The following is a 16,039-nucleotide window of genomic DNA, read 5'->3' as shown; positions in this document are numbered from 1 at the left end:
ATGTTGCCCAGGCTGACGTCAAATTCCTGAGCTCAAGTGATTCTGCTGCCTCGGCCTCCTGACCCAGTAGCTGGGACTTTTTTTGTTGTTGCTTTTTTTTGTTTTTTTTTTTTGAGATGGAGTCTCGCTCTGTCACCCAGGCTGGAGTGCAGTGGCCCGATCTTGGCTCACTCCGCCTCCCGGGTTCACGCCATTCTCCTGTCTCAGCCTCCCGAGTAGCTGAGACTACAGGCGCCTGCCACCACGCCCGGCTAATTTTTTGTATTTTTTAGTAGAGACGGGGTTTCACTGTGTTAGCCAGGATGGTCTCGATCTCCTGACCTTGTGATCCGCCCGCCTCGGCCTCCCAAAGTGTTGGGATTTTAGGCGTGAGCCACTGCGCCCAGCCAGTTGCTTTTTTTTTTTTTTTTTTTTGTGACTGAGTCTCCTGACTTTGTTAGCCAGGATGGTCTCGATCTCCTGACCTTGTGATCCGCCTGCCTCGGCCTCCCCAAGTGCTGGGATTACAGGCGTGAGCCACCGCGCCTGTCCGAGATGTCTTTCTTATGTCTGGTGGCTCCTCCTCCTACTCAATAGCTGGTCTTGGCAGGAAGTATGGGTTCTTCCTGCTTTTTACCCCACTTCCTTTTTTTTTTATTTTAAGCAAAATTGGGAAAGGTGTCTTAAAGGGATTTTTATACAAACCAAATTACTGTTTCATTTGGGGTCTTTTGGAGTCCAGCTTGCACTTCCTGCTCCTACCATCTCCAGTGGCTCAGCTGGCCTCAGGTCCCTTGGCCTGTGTCAGGCTTCTCCACCCACTCACACTCACACCTGGCACTGGCCCCAGCAGCACGTGGTCATTCAGGTCCTCACTCCCTGTCTCTGCCTCCACAAGGACCTGACCTGTCCAGGTCCCATAGTGCCCAGGAGATGAAGAGATGTCACACTTGCTGTTCGCATCTCAGCGTGGGAACAGTGGGGAGCCTGACCTCCTTACAGGGGTCTGGGACCTTCATTTCACTGAGAGGGGAAAGATTCATGATCCTTGTATGATACTTAAAATTCATGACCCAAAATAAATGCATGTGGGCTGCACTAGTAACTGATAACTTGCTCTGGTCCTGCTGTGTGCCCAACTTAAGCAGGGCATTATATGTATATTACTCTCCTGTCCATTGAACCCAGGCCTTGGGGTCTAGGCTGATGGTTGCAGTTTCCCCCACACCCTGAGGCTGTCCTCCTGTGGGCTCAGGAGGGACCCGATCCTGGGAAGTCTTAGCCACGCTCACTCCTGTGTGGGCCCAGGTGCCCACCTGCCTGCACACACCTGCCTACACACACCTGCCTACACACTATCTCTTGGTGGGACTCTCCACTTCCCAGAAGAGGACAAGTGTGCCCTCCTCTCAGGGTCTTCTGGAAGCCCTGGTTTCACCACAAATTGTGACTGTCAGGACACAGTGCTGCTATGGTCAGGATTCCTTTCCATATGCTGCTTCAGCCTCAGACCTCGGTGGGCCTTAAGAGTAGGGGCTGCTCAGCCAGGCGCAGTGGCTCACGCCTGTAATCCCAGCACTTTGGGAGGCCGAGGCGGGTGGATCACCTGAGGTCGGGAGATCGAGACCAGCCTGACCAATATGGAGAAACCCTGTCTCTACTAAATATACAAAATTAGCCAGGTGTGGTGGCATGTGCCTGTAATCCCAGCTACTTAGGAGGCTGAGGCAGGAGAATCGCTTGAACCCAGGAGGCGGAGGTTGCGGTGAGCCAAGATCGCACCATTGCACTCCAGCCTGGGCAACAAGAGCGAAACTCCGTCTCAAAAAAAAAAAAAAGAAAAAGAGTAGGGGCTGTAGCCGTTCCCATTTCATAGGGCACTGGGGGTGCTCCTGACCACGTGTCAGCCCTCACATTGTACCTGGGGCTCTGGAGCCCAGATCCACCTCTCTCCTCTCCACTTCCTTAGTCCAGGTGCCCTTGAACTTCTGGCCTCCCTGTCTGGTCCTCAGATAGGAGTGGGTCCTCAGATAGGAGTGGGTTGGTTGACCCCTGGGGGCAGGGCAGTTGGAGTACAGATATCACTAGCAGGCCCCAGATGGTAGGAGGACAGATCAGCCTAGGGAAAGCTGCTCACAGCCTCCTTCAGAGTTCTGGGTCTTGAAAGCAGCTGTTCTGGGAGCCTAACTGCTTTTCCCAGGGACTTAAGGCCTTTGTAATTTTTGTAGCCCTTTCATCCTCCAGAATAAAGGGACCTTCTTGAGCTCAGGGCCTTCTCAGTACTGGCATGCCCCAGGGCTCCTCCTCCCTGCCTGGGTACTCTGGCCAGCTCCACTGCTTACCCAGCCCAGTCACTCCTAGTCCAGGTGCATCCCTTCAGTGGCTTGGCCCACAGCCTGCATGGTGAACTGATTAGCAGCCCCAACTAATGGGTCCAACCACAGCTCCAGACACCGCTACACTGGTCGCCCATCCGCCATCACTGTTGATGCCAGGGTGGTTCTTCCCTTCACTGTAGATGCCAGTGTGGCCCCTCCCTTTACTGTAGCTGCCAGTGTGGCCCCTCCCTTTACTGTAGATGTCAGCGAGGTCCCTCTCATCACTGTAGATGCCAGTGAGGTCCCTCCCTTTACTGTAGATGCCAGTGTGACCCTTCCCTTCACTGTAGATGCCAGCGAGGTCCCTCCATTCACTGTAGATGCCAGCGAGGTCCCTCCATTCACTGTAGATGCCAGCGAGGTCCCTCCCTTTACTGTAGATGCCAGCAAGGTCCCTCCCTTCACTGTAGATGCCAGCATGGCCCTTCCCTTCACTGTAGATGCCAGCGAGGTCCTTCTGTCTGCTCAGACGTCTTTGACTCCCTCTTATGCACATCCCACAGATGACTCTCAGCACATCCCATCACCTTCACCTTTGAGGTTTATCCAGGATCTGACAAGTCCCAGCATCCCAGCTGCTGCCCTCTGGCCTGGCCTCCTGCTCCCCAACCCCAGGCATCTTCCCCTTCTCCACATGCGGTTGGCGCAAGCCAGGGGGGAATCAGAGCCCCCCTACAGACTCGAAGGTGGGCTTGTTTCTGTGACCTGCAAGCCCCCTTCCCACCTGACTTCCATCCTCTCTCTTCCCCTTGCTTGCTGTGCTGTGGCCATGCTGGGGTCCTGCTTGCACTTCCCACGGATGATTCTCAGCACATCCCATCAGTTTCACTTTTGAAGCTGCCCTCCTGGGCTGCTCCCACCATAGGCCGCGTCATGCATTCCCTCTTCTCAGATGGCCGTGCCTTGCGCCTCACTCCTGCGTCTCCTCCAGGGCTCATCTCAGATATCCCCTCCTTGCCAGGGCTCTCCCTGGCCACCTGGTCTGTCACACGCTCACTCGCACTGCTGTTTCTTAGTGTTTCTCAGTGTGTGTAGCTTATTTCTTGTTGTCTGTGGTCCCCACCATAGACTGTGTGGTCATGTTTGTCTTCATTCAGAGCACCATGCCCAGAGTCCACGAGGCCCTGGCACAGAGGCAGCCACCAGGATGTGGTTGTGTAACAAATAGGTGGGAGTGTGTCTCTTCCATGGCTTCTTGTCCATGGCAGTTCTGGGGTCCCCCCCATTTTTTTCTCCCTTGTCTGCTTCCATAAGACTAATCGGTCTGCAGGAAACAGAAAGCAGGCTCTAGTGCCTCGTCCCCCAGGAGTCCTCACCCCATGGGCAGCTTAGAGGGAAGCAGCAGACAGAGCCCCGCCCCGGGCTCCCGTCGGCTCCTGGCCATCCTGGGCTTATGTGGCCTTTGTCTCCACCCTCACAGCCTCCAGATGGCTTCTGTGCCTCCCAGCAGGAAGGAAGACAAGGACAGAGTGCAAAAGGCAGAGGCCAGCTGCCTTGACCTTATGAAGCTCACCCTGGCATGTGTTCCCAGGGCCTTGCCCAGTTCACTCTCCCTGGCTCATTAGAGTGGCCGGGGAGAACAGTGGCCGCCTCAGCCAGCAGGGACCCTGGCTGAGAGCCCTGTGACTGGCCACGTGGCCACCCTGATCCACCTCATGAGGAAGAAGGGAGGGGATGGTACTGGGGAGGGAGCCGCGGTGTGTGTTCTACTCACTAGGCCTCGTTGCCACCTCTGCACAGGCGCTTGGAGCCCTTGTAGAAGCTGGTGCTGCTGGGACAACAGAGGGATAGAATCCTCTTTGGCCAGATGCCAAATGCTGTTTGTTGGTCTCCTTGTAAAAACACCCAGAAATCATGGGGGCTTTCCATGTGTGAGCTGCACCTCTTACTCTCTGCAGCACCCAGGTGTCTCCCGGGCACCATGCTGCTCCCTCTGGGCACCCCTCATGCCCCCCCACGGAATGGGGACCTGGCTGAGCATGACTGGGCCATGGGAGCAGCCTGACCCTGGGCTCCCAGGCCTGGCCATGGTGGCTGCAGGCTCGCCTCGGCTCCATGGGCCTTTCCTAATCTGGTTAGCGGGATGAAGGCATCAGGTAGGGTCTGTGTGGGGTGGAGAGGAGGAGCCAGGCTCTGGATCCAGAACCCTCTTCTGCCCTTGCCAGCTCAGCATCCCACAGAGGGGTCTTCCCGCTCACAGCCACAGAGGGTTATCAGGGTTATAGAGAAGAGTCACCTACCCAGTGCCTGTCAGGGCATCAGGTACATCCCGGGTGCTGCCACCTCACACCTGCAATGTCCACACGGTGAACCGGGTTGAACAGAAGGCAGCCTCGAGAGGCTGGAGAAAATACACCAAGCACTGACACAGATGACCCTGGGATGTGGGACTATAGGCGATCTTCATTTTTTTCTTCATACTTTTCTTGGTTTCTAAATCTTATTCAGTGAGCACGTGTTCCTTTTTTTAATTAGAGAAAACTTGACAGTAGCCCCTTTTTGTGTTTCACAGAGGAGCTAACATTCCTTCTGTACCTGTAGTTCATGCGGGAGATGGCAGGGGCCTGGCACATGACGGTGGAGCAGAAATTTGGCCTGTTTTCTGCTGAGATAAAGGAAGCAGACCCCCTGGCTGCCTCGGAAGCAAGTCAACCCAAACCCTGTCCCCCCGAAGTGACCCCCCACTACATCTGGATCGACGTACGTGCCTGTTCCCCCACGAAGGCTGTGGGGTGCTCCACCTGGGGGGCCAGGACTGTTCCTGGGGTGGGGGTAGCCGAGCCCAAGGCCTTCGGCAAGCTCGGCCAGTCAGCCCAGAACCCCTCCTCAGCTGTCTCTGCCGGCCCCAGGGTTAGCCCGGCTCAGCCCCACCACCACAGCGTCTTCCTCTTTTCGCTCAGTTCCTGGTGCAGCGGTTTGAGATCGCCAAGTACTGCAGCTCTGACCAAGTGGAGATCTTCTCCAGCCTGCTGCAGCGCTCCATGTCCCTGAACATCGGCGGGGCCAAGGGGAGCATGAACCGGCACGTGGCGGCCATCGGGCCCCGCTTCAAGTGAGGGCCCTCTTCCTGGGGAGCACAGGGCCCCTGGTGTGTACAGTGTGTCATGGGGCGTCTGTGTATCACGGTACTTCTGTAGACGGGGAACACATTTCAGTGAGCTGCTCCTGGAAGGGCAGGGAAGAGAGTCCATAAGGTGAACTTGGCCCCAGGCCAGGCTCCTGCTCTAACTGGGTCCGGGGCTCCCTCACAGGCTGCTGACCCTGGGGCTGTCCCTCCTGCATGCCGATGTGGTTCCAAATGCAACCATCCGCAATGTGCTTCGCGAGAAGATCTACTCCACTGCCTTTGACTACTTCAGGTACTCCCCCAAGATGTGCTGTGCAGCGTCCAGGGACGGCGCAGCCCCTCCAAGTGCTCCATCGCCCCAAACCCCCAGGAAGTCACTCACAGGAATACACAGTTGCCCAGTTGTGCTCACCAACCTCCTCCTTCAGTATCCCTGGCCCTGTGGATTTAAATACCCTTCAGCCCTGTGCATGTGTCCCGTGTACTTAGAGCTAGCCTCCCAGCGAGATGTAGGCAAATTTTCCCTCAGTTCAACTGATTTAGGAGATTAAGTGCGTCCATTTAATTTCCCTGTTAATGTGAAGGCTTATTGCACGAAGAATTGCAAACACCCACTGCCTGGGGCTCTGCACCCATAGGCTGTGCTGTTGTGTGAGTGCAGCTTCCTTGCCCTGATCTGCCACAAGTGCAGCTTCAGTGGAAAGCTGTAGGGGCTGCTGTGGGCAGTGAGGGAGGAGGGCATAAGAGGGCTCCCGAGCCACCACACCTTCCCATGGGAATGGGCCAGATCATCCTTGCTAATGACTGGCTTTGGGCTGACCTTTTGTCATTAAGAAACTGTCTGCATCACCTTCTCACTGCTTTGTGTGACTGGCCTCTAGTCCCTGACTCCAGACACTCAGCCCTTGTCCTCTTATGGTTGTTTGAAGCTGTCCCCCAAAGTTCCCTACTCAAGGAGAGAAGCGGCTGCGTGAAGACATAAGCATCATGATTAAATTTTGGACCGCCATGTTCTCAGATAAGAAGTACCTGACCGCCAGCCAGCTTGTTCCCCCAGGTAACCCTCAACAGTGCAGCTGCTCATGGTGGAGGCAGGCAGGACAGGGGTGCCACGTGGGCTGCCCCGAGGGTGCCAGAGGTAGGGACGGAAAAGCAGTTAGACCCCCCTGAGCCCTGGCCTTGGCTGTGTTGCACGGTCATTGGAGGCCGGTGCATGCCTGGCTCTGCTTCTCCTCTGGCCTGAGCTGAGAAGCATAAACACGCACCCGAGGCAGCTGAGCAGACTCCACTCACCGCACTTTCCCTGCACTGGCACCAGCTGCGTTCACACACCCCTCTGAGCAGCTGACGGCCCAGGATTGGGCTGAGGCTGGTGCACACCCACATGACTGGGGTATGGTCTGTTGTTGTCTTGTAGGAGGCAGTCAAATGGACAGGTGATTTCAATATGAGGGAACTATGGGAGCACTCCTCGGGGACAGGCACTTGGCCCATCCAGAGTTGAGGAATCAGAGATGGTTTTCTGGAAGAGAGACAGTTGAGCTGAGTCTGAATGGCTGCACCGGCATGCAGGGTGGACAGGGCAAAGCATTCCAGGGAAGGGTATGCCGAATGAAAACATGCCACGCAAAGAAGCAGCAAACCTCTGTAAGGAGGCCATGCCCTGTTCTCCCAGGCTAGAGTGCAGTAGCGCAATCTTGGCTCACTGCAACCTCTGCCTCCTGGGTTCAGGCGATTCTCCTGCCTCAGCCTCCTGAGTAGCTGGAACTACAGGTGCTCACCACCATGCCTGGCTAATTTTTTAATTTTATTTATTTATTTTTATTTTTTAATTTAATTTAATTTTATTTTTTTGAGACAGAGTATTGATCTGTCGCCCAGGCTGGAGTGCAGTGGCACAATCTCGGCTCACTGCAAGCTCTGCCTCCCGGGTATGTGCCATTCTCCTGCCTCAGCCTCCTGAGTAGCTGGGACTACAGGCGCCTGCCACCACGCCTGCCTAATTTTTTGTATTTTTTTAGTAGAGACGGGGTTTCACCGTGTTAGCCAGGATGGTCTCGATCTCCGCGCCCAGACTTTTTTTTTTATTTTTATTTTTTGAGACGGAGTCTCACTCTGTCGCCCAGGCTGGAATGCAGTGGTGCAGTCTCCGCTCACTGCAAGCTCCGCCTCCCGGGTTCACACCATTCTCCTGCTTCAGCCTCCCAAGTAGCTGGGACTACAGGCGCTCGCTACCACACCTGGCTAATTTTTTGTATTTTTAGTAGAGATGGGGTTTCACCGTGTTAGCCAGGATGGTCTCGATTTCCTGACCTCGTGATCTGCCCACCTCGGCCTCCCAAAGTGCTAGGATTACAGGCGTGAGCCACCGTGCCCGGCCAATTTTTTTATTTTTTAGTAGAGACAGGGCTTCACCATATTGGCCAGGCTGGTCTCAAACTCCTGACCTTCTGATCCGCCCGCCTCAGCCTCCTGAAGTGCTGGGATTACAGGTGTGGGCCACATTGCCTGGCTGAGACCTTCTGATCCGCCCGCCTCAGCCTCCTAAAGTGCTGGGATTACAGGTGTGGGCCACATTGCCTGGCTGAGATGGTTTTCTTTAGCAGACCCACGGCTGACAACCTAACTAGCAGGAAAAGGAAAGAAAAAAGCAGATGCAGTGACTTTCTAAGGCAGCTTTCTGGCTCCACTTAGAAGAGGGCAAACAGTCCTTACAGTCTGCCCCCACAGGCCCTCAAGTTGTCACCGTACTAAAGGACTATACGTTGCCGGTGATCAGATAACTGCCATCTTTTATCAAGAAAATTATGATATTTGTTTTATTCTATTTTATTTTCTACTTTTTTTTAGAAATGCAGTCTCATTCTGTCGCGCAGGCTAGAGTGCAATAGTGTAATCATAGCTCACTGCAGCCTCAAACTCCTGGGTGCAAGCAATTCTCCCACCCCAGCCTCACAAGCAGCTAAGACTACAGACACATGCCAGGTCCCCTGGCTAATTTTTATTGTTGTTGTAGAGATAGGGCGTCTTGCCTTGTTGTCCAGGCTGGCCTCGATCTCCTGGCGTCTAGCAATCCACCTGCCTCAGCCTCCCAAAGTGCTGGGATTACAGGCATGAGCCACTGTGCTCAGCCTATTCTATTTTAAAGGCTAGAAGAAGTCCAGGTGTAGTGACTCACGCCTGTAATCCCAGCACTTTGGGAGGCCAAGGCAGGTGGATCATTTGAGGTAAGGAGTTCGAGACCAGCCTGGCTAATATGGTGAAACCCCATCTCTACTAAAAATACAAAAATTAGCCAGGCATGGTGGTGGGCGTCTGTAGTCCAGCTATTCGGGAGGCTGAGACAGGAGAATTGCTTAAACCCGGGAGGCAGAGGTTGCAGTGAGCTGAGATCGCGCCATTGCACTCCAGTCTGGGCAACACAGCGAGACTCCTTCTCAAAAATAAAACATAGGCTGGGCACAGTGGCTCACTCCTGTAATCCTAGCACTTTGGGAGGCCGAGGTGGGTGGATCACCTGAGGTCAGGAGTTTGAGACCAGCCTGGCCAACGTGGTGAAACCTTGTCTCTACTAAAAATACAAAAATTAACTGGGCATGGTGTCAGGCACCTGTAATCCCAGCTACTTGGGAGGCTGAGGCAGGAGGATCACTTGAACCCAGGAGGCGGAGGTTGCAGTGAGCTGAGATCACGTCATTGCACTCCACCCTGGGCAACAGGAGCGAAACTCCATCTCAAAAATAAATAAGTAAATAAATAAATAAATTTTGAAAAGGTTAAAAGAAATATAATAAAAATGTTTAAACATTCCATCTAGAATAGTTAAAATAAAGAACTTCTCATGCTTTTGGAAAACCCACCATCCAGACAGATTTGTTCCTGCAGTCGATTCCAGGACTCCAGAAAATGCCTGCTCTGCCACTAATTGCTTTATCTCTGGTGAATAGTAGTTTATTTTTTGTGGTACCTTTTCTTGAGCCACCTCACTCTAGAATCAACAATGTGTTTGCCCTCAGATAATCAGGACACCCGGAGCAACCTGGACATAACTGTCGGCTCTCGGCAACAAGCCACCCAAGGCTGGATCAACACATACCCCCTGTCCAGCGGCATGTCCACCATCTCCAAGAAATCAGGTCGGTGGGAGGTGTGCTGCTGGGGCCATCACATGCAAGCTATCATTCTAGTTGCAAGCTGCTTGATGGACACTTGCTCAGACAGCAGAACAGAGCACTGCAAGCTTCCTCTAGGTTTAGAATCTCAGGGCAGACAGGTAGCATCTGAGGACTACACCTGTGCTTTGTCTTTCCTCCTAGGCATGTCTAAGAAAACCAACCGGGGCTCCCAGCTGCACAAATACTACATGAAGCGCAGGACGCTGCTGCTGTCCCTGCTGGTAAGGCCCACAGGTGCAGCTGTGCCTGCTGCCCGCCACCTGCCTGTACGACACCTGGTGGCCGGGGCAGTGTGTGGGCACTCACAGAAGGGGTGCATATCAGGCCTTATGTCTTATCTTGCCAGGCCACTGAGATCGAGCGTCTCATCACATGGTACAACCCGCTGTCAGCCCCGGAACTGGAACTAGACCAGGCCGGAGAGAACAGCGTGGCCAACTGGAGATCTAAGTACATCAGCCTGAGTGAGAAGCAGTGGAAGGACAACGTGAACCTCGCCTGGAGCATCTCTCCCTACCTAGCCGTGCAGCTGCCTGCCAGGTGGGCCCCCGGGCACCACAGCCTGACACAGGCCTCACCAGAGGTCCAGCGCAGGGTGCTTGCCAGCTGGGTCATGAGTTCTCAGGAGTGCCCTGCAGCCCCTTTCAAGGATAGTCAGGAAGTAGTCTAGTCCTCGAGCCCCAGGACACTCCCCGAGCCCTTCTGTGCAGAGATAACCCAGCAACCCTCGTGATCTTTTCAGATGCCTGCCTGGGGTGCTGCAGCAGCTGGAGCCTAGGGAGGTAGCAGCAGGGTGAATTCAGAGCCAAGATCTGATTCCTGCCGGATAGGAAGCATGTGGAGGCTGTCACTCCTGGCAGGTGGCTGCCGGAACCGCCTTGGGGAGGGTTTGGGTTTGTTCCTGGATGTCACCTTTCAGTGGCAGAGTATTTGGAGGAGGCACATGCTGCAGACAGCAGTGACATTCCTGTGATCTCTCTGTGGCAGCTCTTATGGGGACAGAACTTCAGACCGATGGTGGCTGAGAGGGACTGCAGAGTCCCTGTTTAGAATCCCACCAGATGGTCCACAGCCTCCTGTGAATGTGTCCAGGGTGGGTGATTCTCCATTGTGAGCCCAGACTTGCCAATGTACTGCATCCTCTCTCCAGCCCTACTTTGATCCTCTGGAATAGGATCGCAGCGCAGCTCTGCATTGTCTCAAAGCACAGTGCTCATGGGACATCCGCCTTGCATTAGCCTGAGGTGGGAACACCTGGAAACCAGTAGCTGCCCCTTCATGGACCAGGTGCCTTGTGGCCCCTGGACTGTTGACTGAGACACTGACTCACTGGATGAGCAGCTGTGGAGAGTCAGGAGAGGATATGGTAGGAAAAGGAGTAAGAGGCAGGGGTTTTAAGACAAGGATGGTGAAAGGAAGCCCTTTAAACAGTTAAGTGTAGAAAAATTCCTGTTTCTTTAAGAAAGTTCCAGCATTTCATCACAGCAGATTATAATCCTCTTTTTAAAAAACACTAATGTTCAGACCTACTAGTTAGTGGCATAATAGAACATTTAGCCGTCACCTGGCTAAACATTTTTTTATTTAAACTTTTTTTTTAAATTTCTGTGCATATGTAGTAGATGTCTGTATTTATGAGGTGCATGAGATGTTTTGATACAGGCATGCAACGTGAAATAAGCACATCTTGGAGAATGGGGTATCCATCCCCTCAAGCATTTGTCCTTGGAGTTACAAACAATCCAGTTACACTCTTTTAAAGTTATTTTTCAATATACAATTAAGTTATTATTGGCTGTAGTCCCCCTGTTGTGCTATCAAATAGCAGGTCTTCATTCTTTCTATTTGTTTGTACCCAAGCCGTCACTTGGTATTGATGTGAATCCCTCCAGTTCAGTGTTTCCCCCTGGCTCCCCTCACTCCAGTGTGGTGGGAGAGTGCAGGTTCCCTGGCGAGGCAGCACCACCCATACCCTCTGTGCACTGTAGGTTTAAGAACACAGAAGCCATTGGGAACGAAGTGACCCGTCTCGTTCGGTTGGACCCGGGAGCCGTTAGTGATGTGCCTGAAGCAATCAAGGTAGTGTAGCCCACGTACCAGGGCCTGAGTTCAAACTGCACAAAATAGCACACTGCACCCAGAAATGCCTGAAACTAGAAATGAGACAAAAACAGCCGCTTGGCAACTTCAGTGCTATTCATGGTTTTTCTGATTTCCTGTGTTTTCTATTTCTTGTCTGTAGCATTTATTTTGTTCACAGTAGAAAAAAATGTAATGCACTTCACCCTAATTGCAGTTACGTTGTTTTCCATAACACATCAGAAGCATCTTCCCCATGGTTACCGATGCTTAGAAACATCACTTCTCATGGCCGTCCTTGTGTGGCCCGTGGACCAGGTATTTCCAGAGGTCCCGGGACTGCCCAAGCCACAGCATCTCCCCACCTTCTCTGCAGTTCCTGGTCACCTGGCACACCATCGACGCCGATGCTCCAGAGCTCAGCCATGTGCTGTGCTGGGCGCCCACGGACCCACCCACAGGCCTCTCCTACTTCTCCAGCATGTACCCGCCGCACCCTCTCACGGCGCAGTACGGGGTGAAAGTCCTGCGGTCCTTCCCTCCGGTGAGCCCAGGGCCCTGCTGAGCTGGCCTCTGGTAGGACTGTTGGGAGGGGTCTTACCTGGTGAGAGGCACAGGCCCCACCATTGGCCATGAGGTCGCCCCGTTACATACTGGTCCTTTCCCTGTTTTTTGCTCAAGTAGTTGTAGAAGATGGATTTAGTTCTAATTCAAATGTGTTCTCTAGTTACATTTGTTTTTTAATCTAGTGAGGCGTTTGAGTTAAAGACATAAAGTTAACTTGAGTTTGATTACGAGGCGGCGCGGCAGCTGTGCACACCCCACACAGCAGTGCAGCTAGCTGTGCCTTGGAACCCCACAGTGACCTCACCCGTGGAGGGTCCCTCACTCCTTGTGGGAGCCCAGGGAGCCCACGAGATAGCCATGATGATGGTGGAGAAGGGTCTCTGGAATATTCTAGAGTCTGACCCACAGCAGACCATTCCCTGAGGCAGGCTCCCTAGTGAGGAGCACGAGGCCCTCGCCCGCTGTAGAGCGGGAGCCTTGCTCCTTTTACCTGTTTCCTCCATTCCTGTGTTCTGAGCCATCGGTCATTTTGCCTGCCATCCTCTGGGCTTTCCCCAGTTCTCAGCCCTGCTGTGGGCAGAGCAGAAGCAGAGGCAGGGCCTGGGCCGTAGGGTTGGGTGGCTCTGCTCTCAGAAGTCATGGCCAACTCTGCTCCACCTCCACAGGACGCCATCCTCTTCTACATCCCCCAGATTGTGCAGGCCCTCAGGTACGACAAGGTAAGCCTGCACCTGCATGGCCGTCCTCTTCACTCACAGAGTGTGTTCCACACCAGCTTGTGCCCGGTCTGTCCCCAGCCCTCACAGGCTCCTCAGAGCCTCCTCAGGGGCAGGGCTGCCCAGCAGTCCCCTTGCTCCCCCTACCCCAGGCCCTGTGATTGTCCCTTGATACCCATGTTCACCCACTGCCTCACCCTGAGGCCCAAGCATGCTCTGTGGAGCGAGCCGGTTCTGGGGCTGTTGCCAGCCTGGCTAGGCAGCCTGGCCAGGCTTCCCTCTCATCGGTGGGGTCCCCTCAAATCCCTGAATCCTGCCCTCTTCAGCCGGAAGTGGTGAGGAAAATTAACGAGATGACATATGCATTAGTCTGCCAGGGCTGCATAGCGAAGCACCACAGACTGGGCAGCTTAAACGACAGAAATGTCTATTCTCATTCTCAGAATTGTGGAGGCCAAAAAACAAAACAAACAAACAAACAAAAAACATGAATTCTGGAGGCCAGAAGTCCAAGGTCATTGTTCGAACAGGGTTGTTTCCTTCTGAGGCCTGTCTCCCTGGCTTTTTTTTTTTTTTTAAGAGACAGGGTCTCGCTCTGTCACTCAGGCTAGAGTGCAGTGGCGTGATCTCAGCTCACTGCAGCCTCAACCTCTCGGGCTCAAGCTATCCTCCCACCTCAGCACCTTCCCCGCTACCCCTCCCAAGTAACTGGGATGACAGGCGTGTGCGACCACGCCCAGCTAATTTTTGTATTTTTTGTAGAGATGGAGTTTCGCTATGTTGTCCCAGGCTGGTCTCAAACTCCTGAGCTCAGGCAATCTGCCCACCTCCGCCTCCAAAAGTGCTGGGATTATAGGCCTGAGCCACTGTGCCCATCTCCCTGGCTTATTGATAGCCATCTTCTCCCTGAGTCCTTACAGGGTCATCCTTTTGTGTGTGTCTGTGTCCTAATCTCCCCTTATAAGAACACCTGTCATACTAGATTAGGACCCACCCTATTGACCTCATTTTACCTTAATCATCTCTATAAAGACCCTATCTCCAAATACAGTACCATTCTGAGGTCCTGTAACATATGAATTTGAAGGGACACAGTTCAGCCCGTAACAGTATCCATGGACATAAAGTGCTCAGCACAGGTCATGGCACAGAAAATATCCATGGGAATGACCACAGCCAGGAGCCCGAGCCGCCTCTGCCCTCGCGCCAGCCTGCCCACTGCACCCTGTGTCTGAGTGCAGCTTGTCTGCCCTATTCCCCAACCCCAGGGCTGACCTCATTTCCCTGGATGAATTGGGCAGCAGACTCCATGTGTCCTGGCTGAGTCCTCACCACTCTGGCCCACCTGTGGGCTGGCTGAGTTACATGGCTGGGTGTCCCAGGGGCTAGCCTTGGAGTCTGTAGACCAAAGTGCTTCTAGAACAGCAGCCAGCCTCTGCTGAAAGACTGAGTCCTGTGGAATCATTCACTGCCCTCACTAGGTAGTGCCACACTCTCTGCGCCTCTGAGTGGTGATATGTGTGGAGCCACACTCACCAAGCCGGAGCCTTCACACTGGTGGCAACTTACAGGATTGTCATGAGGCACCTTCTCTTCAGCAACCTGTTTCCTTCCCCCTGGCTCCCCTCCCACATTATTTTCCCTTGACTGCTTGGCTCTCTGCTTGCATACAGGCCTAGCATAAGGGTGAGATCCAGAGGCAGTGGGGAGGGGAGCCAGTACCCAGGGCCTCCGTGTGAACTCTTGGTGGTGGCTACCAGAGAAAGGCCGCCTGAAATGATTCTTCTGTGTGTGGTTGTACCAACTCAGGACTCAGCTAGTTTCACTGGTTTCTTTCTTGCTTTCCATTTTTAGGGAATTTTTTTTTGTTCGTTTTGTTTTGTTTTAGACAGAGTCTCGCTCTGTTGCCCAGGCTGCAGTGCAGTGGCATTCTCGGCTCCTTGCAGCCTCTGCCTCCCAGATTCAAGCAGTTCTCCTGCCTCAGCCTCCCAAGTAGCTGGGATTGAAGGTGCATGCCACCACGCCCGGCTTATTTTTTGTATTTTTAGTGGAGACAGGGTTTCACCATGTTGGCCAGGCTGGTCTCAAAACTCCTGACCTCAGGTGATTCACCTGCCTTGGCATCCCATAGTGCTAGGATTACAGGCATGAGCCACTGCGCTCAGCCAGAATTTTTTTTTTTTTTTAGACAGAGTTTCGCTCTTGTTGCCCAGGCTGGAGTGCAATGGTGTGATCTCAGCTCACTACAACCTCTGCCTCCCAGGTTCAAGCACTTTTCCTGCCTCAGCCTCCCAAGCAGCTGTGATTACAGGCATGTGCCACCACACCTGGTTAATTATTTTAATTAATTAATGGCTAGGCGCAGTGGCTCACGCCTGTAATCCCAGCACTTTGGGAGGCTGAGGCGGGCGGATCACGAGGTCAGGAGATCGAGACCATACTGGCTAACAGAGTGAAACCCCGTCTCTACTAAAAATGCAAAAAATTAGCCAGGTGTGATGGCGGGAGCCCGTAGTCCCAGCTACTTGGGAGGCTGAGGCAGGAGAATGGCATGAACCCGGGAGGCAGAGCTTGCAGTGAGCCAAGATCATGCCACTGCTCTCCAGCCTGGGCTATACAGTGAGACTCCGTCTCAAAAAAATAATAAATATTTATTTATTTATTGAGATAGAGTCTTTGTTGCCCAGGCTGGAGTGCAGTGGCACGATCACGGCTCACTGCAACCTCCACCTCCCAGGTTCAAGTGATTTTCCTGCCCCAGCCTCCCGAGTAGCTAGGATTACAAGCGTGTACCACCACGCCTGGCTAATTTTTATATTTTTAATAGAGACAGGGTTTCACCATGTTTGCCAGGCTGGTCTCGAACTCCTAACCTCAGGTGATCCACCTGCCTTGGCCTCCCAAAGTGCTGGGATTACGGGCGTGAGCCACCACACCCAGCCTATTTTTGTATTTAATAGACATGAGGTTTCCCCATGTTGGTCAGGCTGGTGTCAAACTCCTGACCTCAGGTGATCCACCTGCCTCGGCCTCCCAAAATGCTGGGATTACAGGCGTGTGCCACCACACCCAGCCTGG

The 16,039-nt window shown here is 53.4% G+C and overlaps 1 protein-coding gene across 9 annotated transcripts in view, besides 1 other annotated feature; it reads left to right on the top strand.

The window, feature by feature from the left end:
* Positions 1-16,039, top strand: part of PI4KA (phosphatidylinositol 4-kinase alpha) — a 151,121-nt gene that overhangs the window by 119,360 nt on the left and 15,722 nt on the right. For 5 of the 9 annotated variants that reach the window (NM_001362863.2, NM_001362862.2, NM_058004.4 and 2 more), the window contains 10 exons: positions 4,899-5,057; positions 5,258-5,409; positions 5,609-5,716; positions 6,354-6,481; positions 9,441-9,560; positions 9,741-9,820; positions 9,946-10,139; positions 11,588-11,678; positions 12,055-12,222; positions 12,911-12,964. In NM_001362863.2, the coding sequence (NP_001349792.1) occupies positions 4,899-5,057; positions 5,258-5,409; positions 5,609-5,716; positions 6,354-6,481; positions 9,441-9,560; positions 9,741-9,820; positions 9,946-10,139; positions 11,588-11,678; positions 12,055-12,222; positions 12,911-12,964 (1,254 nt within the window). Of the gene's footprint in view, positions 1-2,860; positions 3,044-4,869; positions 5,058-5,257; positions 5,410-5,608; positions 5,717-6,305; positions 6,328-6,353; positions 6,482-9,440; positions 9,561-9,740; positions 9,821-9,945; positions 10,140-11,587; positions 11,679-12,054; positions 12,223-12,910; positions 12,965-16,039 lie in introns of those variants that run through there. The other 4 variants (XM_005261635.2, XM_011530226.2, XM_011530228.3 and 1 more) reach the window with 4 other exon arrangements.
* Positions 4,004-4,505: an enhancer, noted in NCBI's record as "H3K4me1 hESC enhancer chr22:21089235-21089736 (GRCh37/hg19 assembly coordinates)". NCBI's record gives its function as "activates a minimal SCP1, AML or CMV promoter by ChIP-STARR-seq in naive H9 embryonic stem cells {active_cell/tissue: H9 hESC(naive)}" and the evidence as "EXISTENCE:reporter gene assay evidence [ECO:0000049][PMID:30033119]".

The sequence above is a fragment of the Homo sapiens genome, chromosome 22 (genome assembly GCF_000001405.40).
Source record: "Homo sapiens chromosome 22, GRCh38.p14 Primary Assembly".
NCBI classification, from domain to species: domain Eukaryota; kingdom Metazoa; phylum Chordata; class Mammalia; order Primates; family Hominidae; genus Homo; species Homo sapiens.
Note: the sequence above shows the minus strand (reverse complement) of the source record. Positions and strands in the feature narration are given on the sequence as shown.